The 27,037-nt window shown below is 38.9% G+C and overlaps 1 protein-coding gene and 1 pseudogene across 2 annotated transcripts in view; both read right to left on the minus strand.

Annotated features, from left to right (window-relative positions):
- Positions 1-27,037, minus strand: part of HSF5 (heat shock transcription factor 5) — a 68,242-nt gene that overhangs the window by 38,855 nt on the left and 2,350 nt on the right. The window contains exons 2-4 of one of the 2 annotated variants that reach the window (NM_001080439.3): positions 20,872-21,246; positions 7,864-7,958; positions 3,761-4,282 (exon numbers count right to left, since the gene is read on the minus strand). In NM_001080439.3, coding sequence (NP_001073908.2) covers positions 3,761-4,282; positions 7,864-7,958; positions 20,872-21,246 — 992 coding nt within the window. Of the gene's footprint in view, positions 1-3,760; positions 4,304-7,863; positions 7,959-20,871; positions 21,247-27,037 lie in introns of both variants that reach the window. The other variant, XM_011524283.2, reaches the window with a different exon arrangement.
- On the minus strand, positions 16,970-18,081 carry SETP3 (SET pseudogene 3; annotated as a pseudogene).

The raw sequence follows: 27,037 nt of genomic DNA on the forward strand, positions 1-27,037 counted from the left end.
GTTCTATTATGGGAACATGATCCAACAAACAAGCTTATAAGGCTTTTCATTCTTATTATTGATACTATACCTTTCTCCCTACACAAACTATTAAAATGTATATGGAGCTAAAACATTTACTTATGATCAGAGGAATATCTACCATGAAGCTTGTTGATTTTTTTTTAACTTACAAAAGTACAGGTTTTTTTTTTTGTTTTAAGGCAGGGTCTCACATTGTTGTCCAGGCGGGAGTACAGTGGTACAATCATAGCTCACTGTAACCTCGAGCTCATGGGCTCAAGTGATCCTCCTGAGCAGCTAGGACTACAGGTATTAGCTAATTTTTAAAAAGTTTTTTTGTAGGCCGGGCGCGGTAGCTCACAGCTGTAATCCCAGCACTTTGGGAGGCCAAGGTGGGCAGATCATGAGGTCAGGAGTTCTCGACCAGCCTGGCCAGCATGGTGAAACCCTGTCTCTACCAAAAATACAAAAAATTAGCCGGGCGTGGTAGCAGGTGCCTGTAATCCCAGCTATTCGGGAGGCTGAGGCAGGAGAATCGCTTGAACCCAGGAGATGGAGGTTGCAGTGAGCCGAGATTGTACCACTGCACTCCAGCCTGGGCAACAGAGTGAGACTACATCTCAAAAAAAAAAAAAAAAGGTTTTTTTGTAGAGACAGGGTCTCGCTATGTTGCCCAGGCTGGTAACTCCTGGTCTCAGGGGATCTTTCCACCTGGGCCTCCCAAAGCACTGGGTTTACAGACGTGAGCCACCACACCTGACCAAAAGTAAGATAGTTTCACCATGATTGGTTAAAACCATCTTTTTTCTCTGTAGAATATGTTCTATCAGACTTCCTCTCCTGTTGGAATGGCCATAGGCATGATCCTGTTAGATGGTTTCAGTGGGATGTGGATACTTTATTCTACTAATTTTGTATTCTTTCTCTTAAAGAGGCCCTCAAAATTGTATAAGCTTTAGCCCCTATAAAATCTATATCTGCCCTGTTTATAAAATACAAATTTCTTTCTTTCAGACAGGGTCTCATTCTGTTGCCCAGGCTGGAGTGTAGTGGTGTGATCACGGCTCACTACAGCCTTGACCTCCCAGGCTCAAGCTATCCTCCCACCTCAGCCTCCCAAGTACCTAGGACACAGGTGTATGCCACCACACCAAGCTAATTTTTAAAATGTTTTTGTAGGGATAGACTCTCACTATGTTGCCCAGACCAGTCTGGACTTCCTGGGTTCAAGCGATCCTCCCACCTCAGCTTCCAAAGGTGCTAGAATTACAGGCATAAGCTACTATGCCTAGCCTAAGTTTCTTTCTTACAGTTCCTAAATTTTCTTTGGAATGTAAATCCCTTTGTCAAGTTGATCAACTTCTGAAATACTCCATTTCTTTATGAATTTATTTTAAAATAAAATTATATAATGAAATAAAAAGTTTAAAACACAGCTTTATATACATATATATACACACACACACACACACACACACACACACACATACTTTTTTTTTTTTTGAGACGGAGTCTCGCTCTGTCGCCCAGGCTGGAGTGCAGTGGCGCGATCTCAGCTCGCCACAAGCTCCACCTCCTGGGTTCATGCCATTCTCCTGCCTCAGCCTCCCGAGTAGCTGGGACTACAGGCACCCACCACCACGCCCGGCTAATTTTTTGTATTTTTAGTAGAGACAGGGTTTCACCGTGTTAACCAGGATGGTCTCGATCTCCTGACCTCATGATCTGTCCGCCTCGGCCTCCCAAAGTGCTGGGATTACAGACGTGAGCCACTGCGCCTGGCCAAGATATATTTGTTAATGAAAAAGTTACTGTGTACAAGTGCAGTTTTAAGATCTGAAATATTTCAGATGTGACTATGAAGGAACAAAGACAAATTCTGTGTTCTACAAATATATTTAAAACATAATGGGGCCAGGTGCAGTGGCTCACGCCTGTAATCCCAGCACTTTGGGAGGCCGAGGTGGGCGGATCACCTTAGGTCAGGAGTTCAACACCAGCCAACATGGTGAAACCCTGTCTCTACTAAAAATACAAAAAAATAGCCAGCCTGGGGGGACACACCTGTAATCCTGGTTACTCAGGAGGCTGAGGCAGAAGGATTCCTTGAACCCAGGAGGTGGAGGTTGCAGTGAGCCAAGATTGCGCTACTGCACTCCAGCCCGAGCAACAGAGCGAGATTCCATCTCACAACAACAACAACAACAACAACAACAACAACAACAACAACAACAACAAACCATAATGGGCCTATATTTTGTCTACTGAATTTACAATATTATCTTAACACAATATACTAGATCTTGACAGTCAGGCTAAAAAAAAATGAGGTGATATAAATTTAAGACATTTGGATCTAAAAATAGAGCTAAAAAAGGCTGCAAAAAACAAAAACCTGCCAAAAGTTATCTTGGGACTTTCTAACAATGAACAGAGTTTCAGTCCTATTGAAGAAAAAATCCAAAATGGAAAAAAAATATATACACATATCAGGCTAAGATCAAGAAAAAAATAAAAAGTAGGAAAAAATACTTAATTCACACACAAAAAAAGATTTTAATTTGGGGCCAAGCACAGTGGCTCATGCCTGTAATCCCAGCACTGTGGGAGGCCAAGGCAGGTGGATCACCTGAGGTCAGGAGTTCAAGACCAGCCTGGTCAACATGGTGGAACCCCGTCTCTACTAAAAATACAAAAATTAGCTGGACATGGTGGCTCGCCTGTAATCCCAGTTACTTGGGAGGATAAGGCAGGAGAATCGTTTGAACCCAGGAGGTGGAGGCTGCAGTGAGCTGAGATTGCACCACTGCACTCCAGCCTAGGTGACAGAGAGAGACTCCACCTCAAAAAAAAAAATTTCTTTTTAATTTGGATTTTTTTGGTATTATTTTAAGAGGCACAGGTACAGTTTTATTACATGGATATACTGCATAGTGGTGAAGTCTGGGCTTTGGGTGAATAGTGTACAGTGTACCCACTAAGTAATTTCTCATCTCCGTTCCCCCTCCCACTCCCGCATCCTTCCACGTCTCCAGTGTCTATTATTCCACATTGTATGTTCAGTGTGTACACATTATTTAGCTTCCTCTTATAAAATGAGAACGTGCTATTTGACTTTGTTTCTGTGGATGTACTTTTGATGAATTATTCTTACTAATTATTCAGAATTAAAGTTTATTCATTTTCTTGTAATAAACTAGTGGCAATAAAGGAATTAGCCTTTACCTTCTGCTTTAGGAGTGCAGATATTAGTAAGGAAATTCAAACACAGTATGCTCACAAGTTACAGTTCAATGATGCTGTAATAAAGTTAGAAAAGACTTCCAACCATCTCCTTACCTCCATGCTACAAATGGCTAGGAAAGTCATCATAATATCTGTCAAATAAACCATCCCTCCTGGGTAATAGAATTATCAGCCAGGCATATCTAATCTATCCAAATTAAGATAGGAAGCAAAAACTCAAGAGATGTTTATAACATGAAAATAAGCTTCATACTACAACGCTCAATTAGACAACCTCTCTTTAGAGGTTGACTTCAGACCATGCATAATATAGTGAGATGATGCTTAAGGGTTAAGGTAACTTCTTTCTGAATCTTTTGTGCAGAACCACTGGGACATGATCCTCCTGGAAACCATAATGAACTGGTATTAAACCCAAATAAAATCTGAACAAACTCTCCACTAGAATAGTCTTTAGCAGAAGTACTAGGTACTTTGAGCTTTATAAGCATTTTTTTCTTTGCCCCCTTACCTGGTGTGTGCTGAATGGTGGCCCTTCCTGCACAAATACTACTGAAGATGGAGATGGATTATGATTTAGGTGCTCCTTCAGTTTGACATGAGCTTGCTGGATGGCTGCAGATTCCTGTATTGTGCTATTTTCAACAGGCTGAGCTGTGTGGATGGTATAGATGTACTCAGGTGACTGTGGTAGAGAGCAGGCAACTGCTTGTTCTGTTCCAACCACAAAAGACATAATATCTGAGCCTACAGGAGTAAGTGGCTCCAGCTGGCTAGCCTGACTTGCAGAACATGGATTGCTGTTGTTAGAATTAGCTAAAATGTGTTGGCCTCTGTAAGACGGAGATGTTGGGCACTGATTCTCAACAGGCTCCACCTTTACCATCTCCAATTTAGGGGAGGAATGCAACTCATCAACTATCTGAAAGACAGCCTCTAGGTTTACTTCTGTCTTTGTATTTTCATCAGTAGTACTGCAGGGCCAATTGGAAGGCAAAAATTCAACTGGATAGGAGGACTGCATTGAAGGATTCTGGGAAAAGAAAAAATATAACTGTTTGGATAGAAAATAAAATATGAGATTAAGGAGGAAAGCTACAATATTTAGGCTGATGAGTGCTAAACATAAATAGATTAAACTTAAAGATCACTAAGAAAACCTAGACACTAATCTACTTTTCAGCAATAGTAGCTTCAAATCTACTGTTAGCATTTACTTAGTATATACTACATGTCAACCACTCTGCTAAGTTTAATACTCCAATGGTCAATAATTCTTAAGGTTAAACTGTACAAAATCAAAAGCTATAGTACCCAAATACCTATTTGCTGATAAAGCATCTATACACCAAATTCTTCCATAAAGGCTGACAGACAGAAACATAATTTGTATCTATCATATACTGTTTCAGGAATGCAGTAAGGAAATTTCAAACACAGGATGCTCACAAGTCTACCAATCCTTCTACAGATTCAGGGAGCGGTACTAATATTCTGTTCCAAATAATATGGGGAAAAATGGATGGAATATCAAATGTCCTTTGTTTCCTGGGATTATTTATTTTTAATAACAAAGCAATAGACTAAAATGGCTGTTGCTTTTAGATTTACATCTTTAAGATATATTCCCTTGTATATACTGCTTTGCAGAGAGTAGGCATTTAATACATGTTTGGTGATAAAGATCTGTGAACATAAAATACAGAAGAATGATTAAATAAAACATGTAATGAATTGATGTTGCACAATGAAGAGCTTCGCACAGAGTAGGCATTCAATAAATGTTTGCTGATTATATCAGATTATAAACTTAAAATACAGAAGAGTTATGATTAAAGAAAGTATGTAGTGAGTTGATGCTGCTAAACACAATCATTAACAAAGATTGTCAAAGATTTTCAGAAGGCCACTAATGCCAAATAATGTAAATTCAAATGGTATAAGCACTAAGTGACTATAGCCAATAGCACATTTATTGAGTTATTACTATGTGCCAAGCACATGCAAAGTGCTTTATATAGATTTCATCCAACCTTCAAAAGAGCCCTGTGAAATGTGATAATCTCCATTTCAAATGATAAAACTGAGGTCCAGAAACTTCCTAATTTACCCAAAGTTACAATGAAATAACTGACAGAGCCAGGTTTCAAGCCTAGGTTTGCCGTATTCAAGAGCTCTTGCTCTTAAACAATACAATGTACTGACTGTGCACGCACACTCTCACCCATACCTACAGTCCAACTAAACCAACTGCATTTATTTTCAGGATGGAATCTGAAACACTTTCCCATTTTTCTATTTCAAAATTTTATGTGTGCTTATTGCTATTTTCCTATGATGAACACGTATTGTCTTTTTAAAATTTTTTGTTTTGTTTTTGAGACAGAGTTTCACTTTTGTCACCCAGGCTGGAGTGCGATGGCACGATCTTGGCTCACTGCAGCCTCCACCTCCCAGGTTCAGGCGATTCTCCTGCCTCAGCCTCCTGAGTAGCTGGGATTACAAGCGCCCACCACCATGCCCAGCTAATTTTTGTACTTTTAGTAGAAACAGGGTTTCGCCATGTTGGCCAGGCTGGTCTTAAACTCCTGACCTCAAGTGATCCACCCACCTCAGCCTCCCAAAATGGTGCTGGGATTACAGGCGTGAGCCACCACGCCTGGCAGATTTTTTTTTTTTTTTTGAGACAGGGTCTCACTGTGTTGCACAGGCTGGAATACAGTGGCACAATCATAGCTCACTATAGCCTCAAACTCTTCAAACTCCTCAAGGTGGGAGGATCGCTTGATCCTCCCACCTCAGCCTCCCAAGCTAGGACAAAAGGTGCATGCACCACTACATCCAACTAACCCACCCTTTCTCTCTCCCTCCCTCCCTCCCTCCCTTCCTTCTTCCTTCCTTTATTTCTTTTCTTTTTTTTTTTTTTTTTAAGAGATAGGGTCTCACTCACTATGTTACCCAGGCTCATCTCAATTTCCTGGCCTCAAACAATCCTCCCACCATGGCCTCCCAAAGAGCTGGGATTATAAGGCATGACCCATTGTACACGGCCATATATTGTCTCTATAACAAGAAAAGGTCTTTATAAAAATGTTTTATTTAGCACACAACATAATCAAGATATAAACACTGCCATAGTATCTCCAGCATGATCCAGAGAAGAGAGTGCCTGGACCCACAAACAAGAGCATCTAACTGTGGGATAGGTATGTCCCTCCAGTGAAGATGAATGGGCTAGGATATCATGCTTGATCATATCAGCCATGAAAAATGGCCAGCTAAGTCCCCTTGATCTCATTCTATACTCCAAACAACAATCTGATTATAATTTGACTTCCTATGTAGATTTTCTCCAAAAAAAAAAAAAAGGGAATGTTCTTTTGAGTACCCTAATGCCACTAGTAAGATATTCTCCTAAGAACTGAGACTATCTTGAAACTATCTTGGCTAGATGATTATCCAAGGCAAACACACAATTCCAATCTTTGGCAGTTACAGCATAAAAATACAAAGCATGGAATTTAAAAGTATCCTTAAAATAGCTATATAAAACGTTTAACTCCAAGCAAGTGTCTCCTAAGAAACAATGAGAAGATATTTGAAGTAAAAGTTGAGCATCCTTAATCCAAAATTCTAAAATCTCAAATACTCCAAAACCTGAAACTTTTTGAGTGCTGGCATGATACCACAAGTGGAAAATTCCAGCAGAAAAGCACTTAACACAAACTTTGTTTCATGAACAAAGTTACTAAAAATATTGCATGAAATTACCTTTAAACTATATGCATAAGGTATATATGAAACATAATTAGATTTTATGTTTAGACTCGGGTCATATTCCCAAGATATCTCATTATGTTTTTGGAAATATTCCAAAATCTGAAAAAATCCAAAATCTGAAACACTCCTGGTCCCAAGCATTTTGACTAAGGGATACTGAACCATTATGGTGTTTACAACATAGGGGCTATGGATGAAGGGGGCCACCACTTAAATTTCTCATTTTTGACATTTTTCTCCTTTCTCCTTAAAAAGAAAAGTCTAATTTATCTGTATCATCTTGGAAGAATCTGTCATTTGGTGACTTACACACTTGTAGCGTTTATCTGGTATTCATTTTACCTTGGAAAAATCCAGAACAGCACTGTTTAAAATAACTTTCAGCAATGATGGGAATGTTCTAGATCTGTGCTGTATAATTCAGTACCCATAAGCCATATGAAACTACTGAGCACTCAAAATGTGTCTACGTTAAGTATGGAATAATTTTTAAATCAATTTAATTTTAATTTTAATAACCATATGAGACTATTGAGTACTTGAAATGTGACTAGTATAACTGAGGAATTTTTAAATTTCATTTAATTTTAATTAGCTTAAATAGCCACATGTGGCTAGTGGCTACTATATTGAACAGTTCTGGCCTAGAAGAATTCTGAGATATTATTTATATCAATTCTCTCTTTTTTTTTTTAAGAATTGAGAAAACAAAGCCCATTAATCCACAGCTTACTTCTGGTTACTCATTAATATAAAATTACACTTTGAAATTTTGCAATATCGATAAAATTGCACATAAAGCGCGGAGCATGGCCACAGTTGCAAGAATCTTACCTGGAAGTAGTTGCAGTGTGCATAGGAAGAGGCAGTGGGAGTGACACAACTACTTAGAGCATCCATGTGGGTAGGAGAACAGCACTGTAGCACAGCTGGAACAAATTCAAACACAGAAAAGCCATCAACCACAATACATTTCTATAGCATTCAAGGAGCTCCCCTCTTTCAACATGGAAAGAAATCCAAATTTGAAGAACTTCTTTTGTATGTCTAACAAAATATTTAGTCCAATTAGGTGGTGTTATTTATTGAAAACAACACACACAGTAACAAAATAATTTTAAAGGTCTTTAAAAGGGTCATGTCTAATGTCTATTTTTATAAATCATTTCTTTAACACCTAAGCATTTTGTTACCTTTCTAACCAAACATATATTCTTATTGAAAGTAATTTCATTTTATTGAAAATAGAGGAATATATTGAAATTCCAAAATAAGTATTTCAATCATTTCAACAGTAACAACTATTTGGAGGGTGGAGTGTTTTAAAAGAGTAAAATAACTATGAAGTATTCTCCAAATGTTCCACCATTAAACAATGCATCCAGTAGAAATGTACACAAAAATGTTTTAATAATTTAGGCAAGTGGTCAGGAATGCAGATCACAGAGCCAGACTGCCTGGTTTTGGAGCCCAGCTCCACCAGCCTGGCTTTACAGCCCAGTGTAAATTTGAGCATGGTTAATCTCTGTGTACCTCAGTTTCTGCATCCTATTAAAATAGAGATAATAACAGAATATAGAACCTACCAAATATGGTGGTTGTTGTGATATAAATGAGCTAATATCCATAAAGAACTTAGAAGAGTACTGGTACACAGTAAGCAAACAGTAAGTGTTAGCTGCTATTATTTTAACTGAAGAAACACATTTTCAAAACTTTCCCTTTATAGTCAGGACACTGTGAAAAGATTGAACTCTTGGTACTAGCAAAGTTACTTACAGATGCAGTCTTAATAATAGGTTGAGTCTGCTTTTTTGTAGAGACTCTCCAGTATAAGTGAGAATCAGTTATTAATATCACAACTGTGGTTTAAACAGAGGATGATGTACATTGAACACCCACCCTATTCCAGGCACAGTAGTAAATGCTTTACATACATTGCCTTTACAAAACAAGTAAACTAAAGCTCAGTGATATTAAGTAATTTGCCAAAAGTCACAAAGCTGGAAGTGACAGAGTCAGTAATTAAACTCCAAAGCACACGCTCTTTAATATACCACAATACAGCGAGGCATGGTGGCTCACTCCTGTAGTCCCGGCACTTTGAGAGGCTGAGGCAGGTGAATCCCTTCAGCCCAGGAGTTTGAGACCAGCCTAGGCAACACGGTGAAACCCCGTCTCTACAAAAAATACAAAAAACAGCCAGGCTTGGCGGCACATGTTTGTAGTCCCAGCTACTCAGGAGGCTCAGGTGGGAGGATCACTTGAGCCCAGGAGGTAGAGGCTGCAGTGAGCCATGATTGTGCCACTGCACTCCAGCCTGGGTGACAGAGTAAGACTCTATGTACAAAAAAAATTTACATATATATATATCTCACAATAATTCCCTAAGCTAAACCCTGTTCCTGAAATGTAACATTTGTAGTTTTACTAGAATTCTACTTGCCGAATATCTTTAAAGGTGTCTTTATCAATAAGGTGGCAACTCTCCCTTTTTATGTCCACATTTTTCATATTTTGAGTGTGCTAATCTCATTATTTAATCTTTAAAGGTAAATTGACCTAAGAATTTTTAAAAAATAGCCGAAATGCTTCCCTATTTCTCCATGACTATTGATTCTTGAAACATCAGAAGTTCATGAAGATATACTAGAAATAAATATTTTCTCTTTGTATCATGAGCAATTTAACCATTAAATTTTGCACACAGAAAGAAAACTTGAAATAATGGGCAAAATTATAGTTCAGACATAAATATAAAGGTTATTTTTTGGATGACTTTTTTTAACAATTTTGGTGACTTTAAAAGGCCATATATTACTAAGATTGCCTCATAAAATTCAAGCTGTTATCATTTCCAATACAGGTTAGCTGAACAGTTCTTAGATTTGATCCTTTGAAGGTTATTCAAATATATATTTTAAATGTTTTGGATTTGAATTTGATTTCCCAAAGTATTTGACAGCACAAATATCCTAGGAAATAAATTGAATCCAAATAGCTAAACACCAAGCAGGATCTGCAGAGCTTGCCAAAACTCGGGAAGGGAAAAAAAAAAAAAAAAGCTTTTTCCCCTAGAGTTATAGCAGCTAAGGAAAATCTAGCCACCCAGAAGTAGAGAAAGACTTAGGAGCTGCAGGTCCATTCCATCGGGGTACCAAAAAGCTGTGTTTCATTACAAATAAATCAATAAAAGGATTAGCTTTATTGTTCGGAAGTTTCTGACTCCATTGGTTACACATTTTGAATAGGTGTAAAAATGTACTTTAAAATAAATTTCTCAGAGAAATAAACTACAATATATAACAGAGAATATGTTAATATATTTTTGATAGCTTGATAGCTGAGTTAGTATCTCAGGAAACAGCGAAAAAGTAAATGTTCTTTAAAGTATCCAGTAACAAATGGAAAGTAAAACAGTACCTGTATGAAGAAAATGAGGATTTGAATAGATTATACTCCAAAAAGATTCCTCAATGGCTATTCCTTACCACTGTAGTCCTATTTTGTATAGTCAACAAAATAGAACAAAGTATTAGTAAGTTTACTGAATATGAAAACCTAGGCATAGAAATTTGACTATGTGCCTAGTATATGAAAAAATAATCAACTGTGCATTATGAAAGCACTGACATTTATAAAACTTAGTTTATCACTATGTCCTAAGATACATTCATCTGCACAAAGAACTTTCAGTGTCTTCCTGAAGGCAGTGTTCAGTTGAGGCATTAAATTCCATGTAGAAAGAAAAACTGAAAATAATTAAAAGAATTCCATTTCAGATATAAATATAGGCATTAATGACATTTTCAAAAAATGTCTAAGTAATAAAAAAATGTTAAGCCAGAGTTACTAAAAATTATTGCTCCCGCTATAGGTGAGGCAAACAAGTTAATATACTTTATCCTATGGAAGTGATTCAAATATAGAATTAAAATACTTAGAATTTGAATCTACTCCAGAATAGTATAATGTCAACAGTGAGAAAATACCCAATAATATAAATGCTCAAAAGAAAAAGCATTATAATAGTATATTTAATTTCAAGATAAGTTCCTATGGCAACTAGAACCCCAGTATCTCCTCATTTATGGTGAGGTAAAGAAAAGGTCTTCTGAGTTTATACCCCAAAGTGAAAGCAGGCATTTGAAAAGGTATCTGTACACCCATGTTCAACACAGCAAAATTTACAACAGCCAAAAGATGGAAGCAACTCAGTATCCATCAACAGATGAGTGGATGAACAAAATGTGTTACACATATACAATGGAGTATTATCCAGCCTTTAAAAGGAAGAAAATTCTGACACATACTACAATATAGATGAATCTTAAAGACATTAAGTGAAATAAGCCAGTCATGAAAGGACAAATATTATACGATTCCTCATGTAAGGTTCCTAGAAAAGTCAAATTCATAAAAACAAAAAATAAATTAGAGATTACCAGGGGTTGGGGGAAACTATTGCTTAATGGGTACCAAGTTTAATTTGGGTGATGAAAAGTTTTGGAAACAATGGTGAGGGTTGCACAATATTGTGAATATAAGTAGTGTCAATGGATTGTATATTTAAAAATAGTTAAGATGGTAAACTTGGATGGGCGCAGTGGCTCACATCTGTAATCCCAGCACTTTGGGAGGCCAAGGCAGGCGGATCACGAGGTCAGGAGTTCGAGACCAGCCTTACCAACATGGTGAAACCCCGTCACTACTAAAAATACATAAATTAGCCGGGTGTGGTGGTGCACGCCTGTAGCCCCAGCTACTCGGAAGGCTGAGGCAGGAGAATCACTTGAATCCGGGAGGCAGAGGTTGCAGTCAGCCAAGATCGCACTACTGCACTCCAGCCTGGGTGACAGAGTGAGACTCCGTCTCAAAAAAAAAGATGGTAAATTTATATATTAAATATATTATTCCACTTATATGAGATATTTAGAATAGTCAAATTCATAGAGACAGAAAATAGAATGGTGGTTGCTAGGGACAACCTCTCCACCTCAGGGACAGGTTGGCATTCTCTAATAGGGAGTTAGTGGTTAGCAGGTACAGAGTTTCGGTTGGGGAAGATGAAAAAGTTCTGGAGATAGACAGTGGTGATGGTGAATGTACTTAATGTTGCAAAACAGTACCCTGAAAAATAGTTAAAGTGGTTAAGTTTTATGTTATGCATATTTTTTTCACAATTTTTTAAAAAGGTAAATATGATTGTATTTTTGCTTAGTTTCTCCTGGCAGAGGAGAGAGAGAGCTTCCTGGTGCTAAGTGCCTCTTTTCCATAAGCACAAAATCAAGTATTTTCAGAGAAGCAATACAGACTGCCTGAGAACAAGAGTAACAGCACCAAAAAGCTCTTATAATTCTATATTCTATATTTATGTACATTGATGTAGGATTAGAAGCATAAAGATCACACCTATAGAATTTAAATGTACTTTAAAACAATAATCAGTAACTTTTTTTGCCCAAGGGCCAATTCAGAAAAATCTTAAATGATACACACATACGTATTTTTTAACCTAGAACTGCATGCCAAAATGGATATTTTCTTTTTCTTTTTCTTTCCTTTTCTTTCTTTTTTTTTTTTGAGACACAATCTTGCTCTGTTGCCCAGGCTGGTCTCAAACTCCTGGCTTCAAGCAATCCTCTTGCCTCTCAGCCTCTGAAGGTGCTGGGCTACAGGCATGAGCCACCATGCCTGGCCAGATATATATTTTCTAATAAAAATTAAAAATATCACGTGTACCTTGGGGGAAAGCATATATTCTTATAAATTCTGTTATTTAGCCTTTAAAGTGTTAATATCTAGGCTTATTTACTTTTTTGAGACAGGGTCTTGATCTGTTGCCGAGGCGGGAGTGCAGTGGCGCGATCTCAGCTCACTGCAGCCTCGGCCTCCCGGGTTCAAGTGATTGTCCTGCCTCAGCCTCCCAAGTAGCTGGGACTACAGGTGTGCGCCACCATGCCTGGCTAATTTTTTTTGGATTTTTAGTAGAGATGGGGTTTCACCATGTTGGCCAGGCTGGTCTCAAACTCCTGACCTCAAGTGATCCACCTGCCTTGGCTTCCCAAAGTGCTGGAAGTACAGACGTGAGCCACTGTGCCCAGCCTTCTAGGACCATTTAAAAAAAACAGCTGTTGGACAGGTACAATAGCTCATGCCTGTAATCCCAGCAACTCAGGAGGCTAAGCAGGGGATCACTTGAGGCCAAGAGCTTCAGACCAGTCTGGACAACAAAGCAAGACCCTAGCTGTACCCCCCCCAAAAAAAGTGTTTTAATTAGCTGGGCATGGTGGTGTGTGCCTGTAGTCCTAGCTACCTGGGAAGCTGAAGTGGGAGGATAGCTTGAGACCAGGAGTTCAGGCTGCAGTGAGCTATGATCATGCCACTGCACTCCAGTCTGGTGAGAAAGTGAGACCTTGTCTCTTAAAAAATAATAAAAATAAAAATAAACACAGCTTTTAAAACACTTGATCCTTTACATGTAAATAGTGTTTAAATTTTACAAAGCCTATTCACATATATTAATTTATTTAATTCCTCACTCAAACTATTAAGGCCACTTTATAGAAAGGGAAATGAGGCCACATAACATGATATAATCCACTGAAGTTCATATCCAATGATTAACTGCAAACCTGGGACTAGAACTAGTTCATTCCATTCAATAAATTATTTACTTAGGGCCCATTACAGCAAGCACTATGCTAGGTGTAGGGGGATACAGAAATGAATTAGAGGCAGCCCCACTCCCCAGAGCCCCCAGGCTGAACCTCCCACTCTAGCAATTGGAGTACATTCTCTCTACTCTGGTGAGTCAATAACCCAGAGCAATCCCAATGCCACCAGCAGCATAAAAAGGTAGATTCCCCTACCAATTGCTGTTGTCCACCCTATCTGGGAAGAACTAACTCTGAGGAAGAGATATACCAGAAAAAAATTATCTCAAAAAAACAAAGCAAAAAACAAAAGACCCTCTTCATGAGAGGCAGGCAGACAGGCAGGGGGGCAGGCGAGCACAGTGGCCAAAAGAACAGACTCTTGAGTCAGATTGTCTGGATTTGTTTCCAAGCCCACAGCTTCCTAGCTGTGCCTCAGTTTCCTCATCTTTAAAATGAGGATAATTACACTATTTTATAAAAGTATTATAAGGATTAAATGAGTGAATATTTAAAGAGTACTAAGAACACTGCCTGGTCATAGTGATTACTATATAAGTATGTGTTAATAAAAAAAGAGATGAAGGGCAGCTACAAATTTACTAACCATTGCCTTGAGTTTAAAACTTTGAAAAAAAGGCAAAGTTGATTTTGAGTCTATTCAGCATTAAAGAAAAACAGTTCTCAATATAGGATTCTATATATAAAGATGAATATTCTTAAGTATGTTCAAATATATAGTGGAGAATAAGTAAAATTAAAAGGTTTAAAATGAAGTTTTTCATAAAAGAGGAAAATTAAATTACAGTTGCAGACCAAAAATAACATCAGAGGAAAAATTGAATTCTAGATAAAGCAAGAATAAAAAGAGTCAACTAATGCTGGATCTACAAAATCTTGCCTTTGAAGAAGTGGTAAGAATGGAAAACTGACACTTCAAGGGAAAAACAACAAATATAAAAAATGATTCCAGTCTGCTTCTAACGTGAGAAAGAAAAAAAATGATTCCAATGAGTCATTTTATGAGTTAGTCTGATGGCAACTTTTTAGTTTCAATGTTTGACTTTACTAAAGAAATTAACAATTTATGAAATATTATAAAATTCAAAATTTACTGGTTATACTATTTGAAGACCAGATCCAAGTTTATTTTTATAACACAATTTTTTTTTTTTGAGACAAGGTCTTGCTCGCAATGGCACAATCACGGATCACTGCAGCCTCAACCTCCTGAGCTCAAGCAATCTTCCCACCTCAGCCCCCAAGTAGCTGGGACTACAGGTGCTGCCACCACACCCAGCTAATTTTTCTATTTTTAGTAGAGACTGTGTTTCACCATGTTGGCCAGGCTGGTCTGGAACTCCTGGCCTTAAGTGATCCACCCGCCTCGTGAGAATGATACTCTATTTAATTTTGGTAAAGTCATTTGTAATACTCTTCATAAATAAGTACTCACTAAATATTGGTTAAATTGCTCACTACTTTTTATTTCCTTCATCCATAACTTGGAGGAATTAAGTATTTCTAGGGTATTTTTATGGCACTTTCTTTTCCATTGCAAGTTTTTTGTATTAACAATAAAATTTTTCATTTACAAAGTACTTCAGAATGCTCAAAGTAGTTTTGCCCACATTATGTACTAGAAGTCATCATGAGATTTCTTATTCTCATAATCTCAGAAACTTTATAGTCATTTCAATCATCCCTATTAAAGAAGACAAAACAAAAATTCAGTTAACACAAAATTCTCTATATACTGTATACTATAAAAACATCAGCAGCACTTACTTGTTCTTTTTTTAATGCCTCCTTCCTAATTCTTACCTTAAACACTTGGAGACAACTCCCAATTTATAATTTACATCAAGCTAAAATAAAATATTTTTAAAACAGCATGTCCAAATTTAACAATAATTTTAACAAACAGCAGTTCTATAATAAATATTAACTATAACATTTGTAGTGGTTTTAGTGAATAATATATGAGTACTTTTCATAAAATTTAGAGCCAGTAGTTTCCATGAGGATTGCTTGAAACTTGGAATACATTTTCAGGCTGGAATGCAGTGGCACAATCATGGCTTACTGCAGCCTCAAACTCCTAGGCTCAAGCAATCCTCCACCTCAGCCTCCCAAATTGCTGGGATTACAGGTGTAAGCCACTATACCTGGCCATCTTGTTTTCAAAGATTGTGCATATATTTTGGTTCTTCAAAGAAGTAGCTGGGCAAATCTGGGGGAAAAAATTAGGCCTTAACCATTTTCTATGTAACATGGTAAAAAAAATTTTTTTTTAATTTCTAATAGGCAAAATGATTAAAAGTCCAAAATCATCCTTACTTCATGTAATTCCCTCCTTTTCTTTTCAACGCCATTCACCAAAAGAGTAACAGCTCTGAAAATCTATAAAACTCAATCTAGATGATTTTAATATCATTAAACTTAAAACATTTTGGGAAAATAATCCCTTTCACTGCTATATTTAGGTACAATGAGCCAACGATACAAGTATATGGTTGGATATTAACAGCTAGAAAATAGTGAGTACTATTAAATAGAACAGTCACCAGATTTATAATTTTGTTTTGTGTGTACACATTTAGTTTTATCGTAACAAAGCAGCTTGTCCACTTTTAACCTTTAAAACTGAGCATCATCTTTCCTTTCCAGTGAAACAAAAAGAAAATTTAAAAATAAACAGGATAAAAATTACAATAGAGAATGTCAATTCCAAATAAGATCCTACAGGCTCTGCAGATTCTCCCATTGAGTGGCAGGGCTCAAGTCATCATTAGCAGAGAATTTATTTTAAAAAGTGTCAAATTGCAAAGGATATCTGTCAAATATCACAATTAAACATGCAAAAAGAGAAGCCATGTTGTCAAAATGCCCACTTAACCCCCCCAAACATCTCAAACCCACCCTTTGGTGACCTTCTATAAACACATTTTCTAAGATTTTGTTTTGTTTTGTTTTTTAACAAGAGAAAGTAGACAGATACATGTTGGTAAATGCTAAATGTTTTCATTCAGAGAAAGGAGGAGAAAAGCTAGAATTCTGGGCACTGCTACTCAGGGGCCTCACATCCTCCAGCTTCCAGCAGAGAGAAGGGAGGAAGTTTTTCTTTTTTTCCACAGAGCTCGTAGTGTTGATTCCATACAGTTTTTGTTCAGACAAGAAGGGATAAAAATGAATTTCGAACAGAAAGGGGTAGAGACTCTTTTCCCTTTGTATTCTGCTCAAGGTATTTCCCCCCAAATAAGTTGAGAATCATGGTGTAGAGAAAAGAGACCTCAAGAACAGGGTGACTGAGCACAAGAGGAAAACAAACAAAAAAAACAAAACCAAAAAAACCTGCAACTTGCTCCCAAGGACTGGAGAAAATTTTTAAAAAGGAAGGTCAGAATCCATCAGTGTTCTATTAGTCATCTTCTCCTTCATCCTTCTCTCCTTCCTCCCCTTCATCATCATCTTCATCTTCTTCATCTTCCTCATTTCCTTCTAATCAATATCTTCTAATCCTTCCTTCTCTTCATCATCATCATCTTCTTCTCCTTCTTCATCATCCATATCAGGAACCAAGTGGTACTGTAATGGGTTTGGCCAAATACCATCTTTGATGACCTCTCCTAACTCATCAGTACCTGCATCAGAATGGTCAGTAAATCAGGTAAAGAAGCTCCCTGGTTCCTCATGCTGCCTCTTCCTGCCGGCTTTATTCTGAGTTTAACTTGAACGCTTTGTCAAATCCATTCCAGATTTCCATTTGATTTCAGTGGACTTTGAAGATGGATCACCACTCTTATTCAGATGAAATTCTTTGGACAGAACTTTATTTTCAAGGTAAGGATTTTGATCAAAATAAAAATCTATTCTGTAACCTGATTTAATATCTTCGAATTCTGTCACTTCAACTCTGGTCAAATAATGCAGTGCCTCTTCGTCCTCCTCCCCAAGCAGTGCAGACACTTGTGGATGGTTGACAAATGTTGTTATCCAAAAATGTGGGATTTTGGCGATCAATTCTGATCTCTTCTGAAAAAAATGGTTGGCGGAGTTTGTTATATTTCTGTTCTACTTTCAAAATCTCCTCACTGGCTTGTTCATTAAGTCTGTCTATTTCATTTTGGATTTCATCAATGTGTTCAATTGCTTCTTGCTGTTTTTTTTTTCCTGAGGTCTCGTCGGCCCTGTAGTGGTTGGAGTTGAGCTCCTTTTTACTGATTTTGGCAGCGGACGCCCATGTGGCACGGTTGGGAGACGGGGGCGGGGGAAGGGAAGGCTAAGGGAACAGGCAGGCAGCTTCCCCCTCACGGCACACGCGCGGGCGCTTGCTGGGTCCAGCCACCTCCTCCCAGCGCTGCCCTCGCGGCCTGACGACAGGTATGGGCTAGGGATATATATATATACTTTTTTTTTTTTTTTTTTTTTGAGATGGAGTCCTGCTCTGTCACCCAGGCTGGAGTGCAATGGCGTGATCTTGGCTCACCACAACCTCCGCCTCCCAGATTCAAGTGATTCTCCTGCCTCATCCTCCCGAGTAGCTGGGATTACAGGCACCCGCCACCATGCCTGGCTAATTTTTGTATTTTTTTGGTAGAGACGGGGTTTCACTATGTTAACCAGGCTGGTCTCGAACTCCTGACCTCATGAATCGCCCGCCTCATCCTCCCAAAGCGCTGGGATTACAGGTGTGAGCCACCATGCCAGGCCCAGATTTATAATTTTTAAATGGCAACAAATTACTCCATTCCCCTTTTTTTTTTTTTTTGAGACGGAGTCTCGCTCTGTCGCCCAGGCTGGAGTGCAGTGGCGCGATCTCGGCTCACTGCAAGTTCCGCTTCCTGGGTTCACGCCATTCTCCTGCCTCAGCCTCCCCAGTAGCTGGGACTACAGGTGCCCGTCACCACACCCAGCTAATTTTTTTGTATTTTTAGTAGAGACAGGGTTTCACCGTGTTAGCCAGGATGGTCTCGATCTCCTGACCTCGTGATCTGCCCGCCTCGGCCTCCCAAAGTGTTGGGATTATAGGCATGAGCCACCGTGCCCGGCCACTCCATTCCCTTTTCTAATTTACATTTCTTCTACTTTAAGTAAATATCTTTTTTTTTTAATATTTAAAATAAAAAAATATTTTAGCTTTCCCTTTAGTGCCGCCTGGGAGAAATGGTCTAACAAAAGACCTCCAGAAATTGCTTCCAGATTTACATAACTGAAAAAATTAAAGATCCTAGATTATTAATTCACAGGGCAAAGGAATGCCCCCTTTCTTCTCTTTCTGGTCTTTTCTGGAATGCCCCCTTTCTTCTCTTTCTGGTCTTTTCTGAAAGCTTTGACCCTTGTCTTATTTCTATTGCCTCATTTCATCATTGTGTAAAAAGCATACCACATGATGAAATACATGCCACTGCTGTTGTGTTTTTGCAAAATTGAAAATACATTTGAGGCCAGGCACAGTGGCTCACGCCTGTAATCCCAGCACTTTGGGAGGCCGAGGTGGGTGGATCACGAGGTCAGGAGTTTGAGACCAGCTTGGCCAACATGGTGAAACCCTGTCTCTACTAAAATAAATAAATATATATATATATATATATACACACACACATACACACACACACAATTAGCCGAGAGTTGGTGGCAGGCGCCTGTAGTCCCAGCTACTCGGGAGGCTGAGGCAGGAGAATCACTGGAACCAAGGAGGTGGAGGTTGCAGTGAGCCGAGATTGCACTACTGCATTCCAGCCTGGCAACAGAGCGAGACTCCATCTCAAAAAAAAAAAAAAAGAAAAGAAAAGAAAAGAAAAGAAAATACATTTGAGTGAAATGGTAAGATTATATTGCAAAAAGTTTTCTATTAAAAAAGAAAAAAAAATGGCCAGGCAGGGTGGCTCACTCCCGTAATCCCAGCACTTTGGGAGCCCAAGGTGGGTGGATCACCTGAGGTCAGGAGTTCGAGACCAGCCTGTCCCACATGGTGAAACCCTGTCTCTACTAAAAATACAAAAAATTAGCCGGGTGTGGTGATGGACATCTGTAATCCCAGCTACTCAGGAGGCTGAGGCAGGAGAATTGCTTGAACCCAGGAGGCGGAGGTTGCAGTGAGCCAAGATCACGCCACTGCACTCCAGCCTGGGCAACAAGAGTGAAACTCCATCTCCAAAAAAAAAAAAAAAAAAGAGAAGAAAAGAAAAGAAGAAAACACAACTTTTTTTTTTCCCCAAGAAGCAAAAAACAGATGATAACTATCATAAGCGTTCCCAATTAGTGGCTTGGGATCTACCAGCGTGTTCTCAATGCCCTTGCTTGAGTTCCAGGTCAGTTGTCATTGTCAGGTTTCTCCTTCTCTCTGCTACTCCCCAGTTCTTAGCTGCCTAGGAATAACACTGCGGAGATCCCACTGTTCACCAGGTTTTTACTAAAGAATTCAATGTTCAGAGAGTATCCTTTTTCATTAAATATCATTACTGAGATACTAAATGATTTCATTATGAGGTAATCTCACCTTAAGATTAAACCATATTAAATATATAATAAACATATTAAAAAAAAACTACAGCACCAAGTACAGAGTTAAAATAAGGTTCTGGGGTACTAAGGTTTTTTGCTTTTTGTTTTTGAGACAGTCTCACTCTGTCGTCCAGGATGGAATGCTGTGGAGTGATCTCTGCTTACTGCAACCTCTGCCTCCGAGGTTCAAGCAATTTTCTTGCCTCAGCCTCCTGAGTAGCTGGGATTACAGGCGCCTGCCACCGTGCCTGGCTAATTTCTGTATTTTTAGTAGAATTGGGGTTTCACCATGTTGGCTAGGCTGGTCTCGAACTCCTGACCTGAAATGATGCACCCGCCTCAGCCTCCCAAAGTGCTGGGATTACAGGTGTGGGCCACCACATCTGGCCTTGGGGTACTAAGTCTTAATTTCATAACTAGGACATATTTTGAATATACAAGTTTCACTAACAATACACACCTTTATACATCAACAAAATTTTCACAATCCTTAAAAACACAATGAAATTTTGTATATTGTTTAAAAATATCTCCTGCTAAGAAATCTTTGCCATTTCTTAGGTGTACATTCCTACTGTTTGTGTTAAAGCACATAGACATTAAAATGCATTTAAAATATATATATATGCTCATTATAAACAACCTTAAATAGAAGGCCATGAACCTGAATTTGTCATACCTGTTGGATAGTAGGCTTGCGAGTACTGTGCTGAGGGTGTGTAGTTACTGTATTTTTGGGAGGAGCTGACCATTGTTTGAGGACCTTGTTGAACATGTACAGATGTGGTGCTGGGCTGCAGTGTATAGGTAACCTCAGTTGGAAACCTCTGGAGTACAGGAAACGGAACCCCTTTATCTGAAAATGTGGGAGATGTCTCCACTTGTCCAGGATGCATTCCAAGGGAGTTCTGCCATATTCTATGAGGAACTGGGGTCCGATCTAAACCTTTCAGAGGGTAAGTACTGTGGTCGTGGGATGGAGTTGATACACAGGAGTAAGGAGACAAACTATCTCGACGAAATGACCGGTGAAATTGTCCTACAGCCACTGGTCCTACATAAAAGAGGAAGAGCACATTTACTAATTTTGCATTACATCACCAGACATAGTAAACCAAAGGTCATAAAATATGCTACTCTTCACCTATCAGCCATTTTTAACACAACAGAAGTTTAGGTTTGGTAAAAACAAGTTCAGAATCAAGAATATGAGACATATAATGCTGAAAGAAGAATCAAATAAACCTTTGTTTTCTCAGTGCGATAGTCATAAAAGATAAAGTGCCCAAATTCTAACATTAAATCAAATGTTAAATCAAAAATTCAACATTAAAAGCCTTTTATACATGATTTGGCCATCTTACCTTTCGCTTTATTTGCCTGACCCAGATTTTTCCAACGTGTAAGCTACTTCCTAAAAGTTTTCCATTCAGTCTTTCAAACAATTTTGTAACATTAATAATAGGCATAAAAATAAGCTCTCCACCAAAAAATAAAAGAAATGGGTGTGGAACATATAACAAGATAAAAAAAAAAGTAACGCTCTTTGCTATCTATCTATCTATCTATCTATCTATCTATCTATCTATCTAGCAACCGGGTCTCACTCTGTTGCCCAGGTTGCAGTGCAGTGATGTGATCTTGGCTCACTCTAGCCTCAAACTTCCAGGCTCAAGCAATCCTCCCACCTCAGCCTCCTGACTAGCTGGAACTATAGGTGCACATCACCAAGCACTGTTTATTTTACTTTTTGTAGAAACAAGGTCTTGCCACATTCCCAGGCTGGTCTGGAACTCCTGGGCTCAAGCGATCCTCCTGCCTTTGCCTCCCAAAGTGCTGGGATTACAGGCATGAGCCACCATGTCTTGCCCTCCCTTTCAAATTTTTAAAAATGATAATCTTTATAAAAAAGTCAGGCTTGAAAAGTTTGACTTAGTTTCCTCCTTCATCCCTTAAATCAATCAATCATTTTCCATGATTTTTCTTTCTTCAGAGTCTTTCCAGTAGTATCCTTTCCCAGATATCAGTGGCTCTCAAACATTGGTTTACATCTGAATCACCTGAAGAGTCTGTTAAAAATCCACAAATCCAGGCCCAGAGATTCTGATACTTGTCTTCTCTTTATTAGCAATGTAAAAAGGAATAAAAAGTGGAGATAAGGAAGAGAGAGAAAGGGCAATAGTATGTAATGAGGGAAGGGAGAATATAAATGATACAGAACTATGGATTATGATTCTTGAACATAAACAAAGCTAGCCTAATTTATTCCTAAGGAGAGTTTTGCATTAAATCATGTGACTGATTCACAAGTTCCTTTCAATTTACTAAGCTAATCTGTAAAACGGAGGGAAAACTTATTATGTGCTACTCAAGTATTAAACTACACGTTGAAAGTTAACACTCAAATATCTGCTTTTCCAAATAATTAGATTGTAAACCCATTCAACAAGTTACATATCTGTCATTCTATTTCTGTAGTTTAATTTCCTTTAAAGAATAAAGCACGCCAGCCACGGTGGCTCATGCCTGTAATCCCAGCACTTTGGGAGGCCAAGGCAGGCAGATCACTTGAGTCCAAGAGTTCAAGATCAGCCTCAGCAACATGGTGAAACCCCATCTCTACAAAATATACAAAAATCAGCTGGGCACGATGGTGCATGCCTGTAATCCCAGCTACTCAGGAGGCTGAGGCAGGAGAATCGCTTGAACCCAGGAGGTGGAGGTTGCAGTAAGCTGAGATTGAGCCACTGTACTCCAGCCTGGGTGACACAGTGAGACCCTGTTTCGAAAAGAAATAATAAAGTATTATTGAGTCCAGGAGTTCAAGGTTACAGTGAACTATGATCGTGCCACTGCACTCCAGCCTGGATGACAGAGTGAGATCCTATCTCTTAAAAATAAATAAATAAATAAATAAAGCATTAATGCCAAAAAGAAACAAATACGCACATATGAACAACACAAATTCTGAAGCCCTGGAAATCAAGAGGCTTTATCTAATAGGGGGAAAAAATCCTACTTCAGAAGATTGAATGTATTCAAATGATAGATCTCTTAAAAACTATTTTTCCTTTATTCCTTTAAAGTACAAAAAATAAAATAGACCCTGCGCAGTGTCTCATCCTTCTAATCCCAGCACTTTGCGAGGCCAAGGCGGGAGGATTGCTTGAGCTCAGGAATTTCAGACCAGCATGGGCAAAATGGTGAGATCCTGGCCAGGTACGGTGGCTCACACTTGTAACACTAGCATTTTGGGAGGCTGAGGAGGGCAGATCACTTGAGCTTAGGAGTTCAAGACCAGCCTGACTAACATGGAGAAACCCCGTCTCTACTAAAAATACAAAAATTAGCTGGGCTTGGTGGCACACACCTTGTAGTCCTAGCTACTCAGGAGGCTGAGGAAGGAGAATAGCTTGAACCTGGGAGGTGGAGGTTGCAGTGGGCTGAGATCACGCCACTGCACTCCAGCCCGGGCAACACAGCAAGACTCCATCTCAAAAAAAAAAAAAAAAAAAAAAAAAAAGGAAAGAAAGAAAAAAGAAAAAAAAGGTGAGATCTTGTCTTTACAAAAAATAAAACAATCAGCCAGGTATGGTGGCATGCACCAATAGTCCCAGCTAGGAGACTGAGATGGGAGGATGACTTGATCTTGGGAGGTCAAGGCACCAGTGAGCCATGTTCATGCCACTGAACTCCAGCCTGGGTGACAGAGGGAGACTCTGTCTTTTAAAAAAAAAAAAAAAAAGCATAAAACAGTTTTTACGCTGCTTGACTAGCAATTCCGCAGGTACATACACCTTGAACCCACCACTGACACCCCCTCCTTTTTTTCTCTCTCTTCACAAGAGGTGTTTCTGCATGTCCAAAATTACCCATTCCCTGATTTCTCCTGGGATGCTCGCAGTCAACACTACATACAGCCTACAGAGTACAACAGCTCTGCCCTCTTCGGGGATAAACTGTTGGTGAATTTTCAGGCTGTCAATAACTTAAGCAGCTAATTAAAGAATTCCCTACCTTAAATTGTTTTATATCTGTCTACTTCTATCATGATAAACTTGGAGTGATGGCCAATTAACTATTTTAGATGCAGTTAAAATTAGAACACAGTCAAGATTAAAAGAACATTCTTTTAAGTCTGTTTTTTTAAAATAAAGAACCAAGACATGTTTAGCCCTTATTTATTCTTCTGTTAAGGGTTACTTCATAGGGCTCAATTCAGATCAACATTACAGAGCATCACCTATATGTCTTCAAAATATCTTTAAGATATATTTGGCAAAGTTTGAATCCAGAATTCTGGAAATAGAGGGCAGGATGAAATTGTGTTCTCAAAAATTCTATTTCTTTTATGGAAGTGCGTCTGAATTAATCAATTCCCAGGAAAGAATCCAAAAACTTGCCTCTTGAGAGCATGGTATCCCCAGGTAAAAGATTATCCACTTCTCAGATCTGTTACTTAGTTTAGGATATTTTAACAAATATCGTATAAAATAAACTGCTCCTAAAAACAAAATAACAAAAGCGCACAAAGGAAAAACATGCAATCTGTTTCTTATCAAGTATACTCTTGGAAGGTGAACAGTGCAATTGGTTCAGTGGCTCTAAATAAAAGAACTAGGTCCTAAAACAGAGGATTCTATTATAGAGAGAGAAGTATTCAACCCATACACTGAAATAGAACATAGAAAAAATGGAGACTAAGCAGTAGCAGTGTAGTCAGGCACATAACCAAGGCAAGATTCGAGAAGAAGAAAAATGAGATGAGGAAAAGTAGAAGAGCCAAGGACTTAGAACATGGAATGAGAACAAAACAAAGTTGTATTCTTGAATAACTTTGCTAAATTATTCAAGTTCTAATATTCTTGAACTTAAAGCAGAATTACATTCCACCTGAACCAGTAACACAATTCCCTAGTGAACCAAACCTATGGTATAGACAGTCCACACCTGACATACCTTCTGCACATACCAACAGGTAGAATGGTAAGGAAAAAAAAAAAAAACACCAAACAGGAAAGGCATGAAAACAATAACTTAGTTATATATGGATTGACATATAATCTATACTGAAAAACCATGAATTTATGTTTTTCAACAAACAGTAATCTTTAAATGCTGACCAACTGAAGTATAAGTGAATAAAATCAGATGCCAGATGGCCCTGAATTTCTTCAATTAAAATGGACTCTATCCTTAAAATACAACTGAGTTTAAGATAGTTGAGGGTAAAAGGTCAGAGAAGAGAAAAGAGCAAGTGTTGGTTTTTATGTGTGTGTGTATGCATGGATGTTTCTTTGTTTGAAGTGGTTATCCCATTTCTCCCAAAAACATATTTTCTAGTCTTTTCTCCTTATACCCACCAGACATGCAACCTGAAAAAAAAAAAATCCATGTCAGAGATTCTGCCAAATGTATGCCATGGTATTGTCTCCATTGCCTTGCCCCCTATCATTCCCTACCAAAATCAATGGCCATCACATGGAAGTGGCCTAATATTCCTTTAGGACATTCTTATGCCACTGCTGCTTTTTCAACTTACTGTTGGAACTTTAACCTAATCCCTTATCTTCTAAACTCCACAGTGGTCACATAACCTAGTTCCTTATCTTCTAAATTCCAAATGAACCAAGTACTGTTGTCATTCATAACCCTGGGCGAAGGTTAAGTTGAACATAGTGTTATTTTATTTGTACATTTAAACTTTTCCATTAACTCAAAAATAACCCAGATTTTTTTTTTTTTTTTTTTTTTTTTTTGAGACAGCGTCTCACTCTGTCGCCCAGGCTGGAGTGCAATGGTGTGATCTCGGCTCACTGCAACCTCCACCTCCCAGGTTCAAGTGATGCTCCTGCCTCAGCCTCCCGAGTAGCTGGGACTACAGGCACCCGCCACCACGCCCAGCTAATTTTTATATTTTTAATAGAGACAGGGTTTCACCATGTTGGCCAGGATGGTCTCGATCTCTTGACCTTGTGATCCGCCTGCCTGGGCCTCCCAAAGTGCTGGGATTACAGGCGTGAGCCACCACGCCCGGCCCCAGATTTCTTTATAGTAAATCCATGTTAACATGCTGAAAATGTTTTTATTTACTCTCCTAGCTGAAGGTGAAGAATGAATGAATGATTACACCCTGTTGGTTTCTTGGTATACTGCTTCATATCATGGACTCTTTAAACAGAGAAATGGAATATTGCCACCCTTGCCTTCCTGGAAGAGGGGGAAGAGCATCAAAAATCAAGTCTACAGGCCTGGCGCAGTGGTGGCTCACGCCTGTAATCCCAGCACTTCCAGAGGCCAAGGTGGGCAGATCACTTGAGCCCAGGAGTTCCAGACCAGCCTGGGCAACAGAGTGAAACCCTGTATCCACCAAAAATACAAAAAATTAGCTGGGTGTGGTGGCCACGCCTGTAGTCCCAGCTACTCGGGAGGCTGAGGTGGGAGGATCCCTTGAGCCCGGGAGGTGGAGGTTGCAGTGAGCCAAGATCTTGCCACTGCACTCCAGCCTGGGGGACAGAGTGAAACCCTATCTCAAAAAAAAAAAAAAAAAATCAAGTCTATAAAATAATTTGGCCATGTGAAGTGGCTCACACCTGTAATCCCAGCACATTGGGAGGCCAAGATGGGCGGATCACCTGAGGTCAGGAGTTCAAAACCAGCCTGGCCAACATGGTGAAACCCCATCTCTACTAACAATACAAAAATTAGCGAGGTGTGGTGGCAGGCACCTGTAAAATCCTAGCTACTCTGGAGGCTGAGGCAGAAGAATCACTTGAACCCGGGAGGCAGAGGTTGCAGTGAGCGGAGATCTTGCCATTGCACGCCAGCCTGGGCAACACAGTGAG

Source organism: Homo sapiens, chromosome 17, assembly GCF_000001405.40.
Source record: "Homo sapiens chromosome 17, GRCh38.p14 Primary Assembly".
NCBI classification, from domain to species: domain Eukaryota; kingdom Metazoa; phylum Chordata; class Mammalia; order Primates; family Hominidae; genus Homo; species Homo sapiens.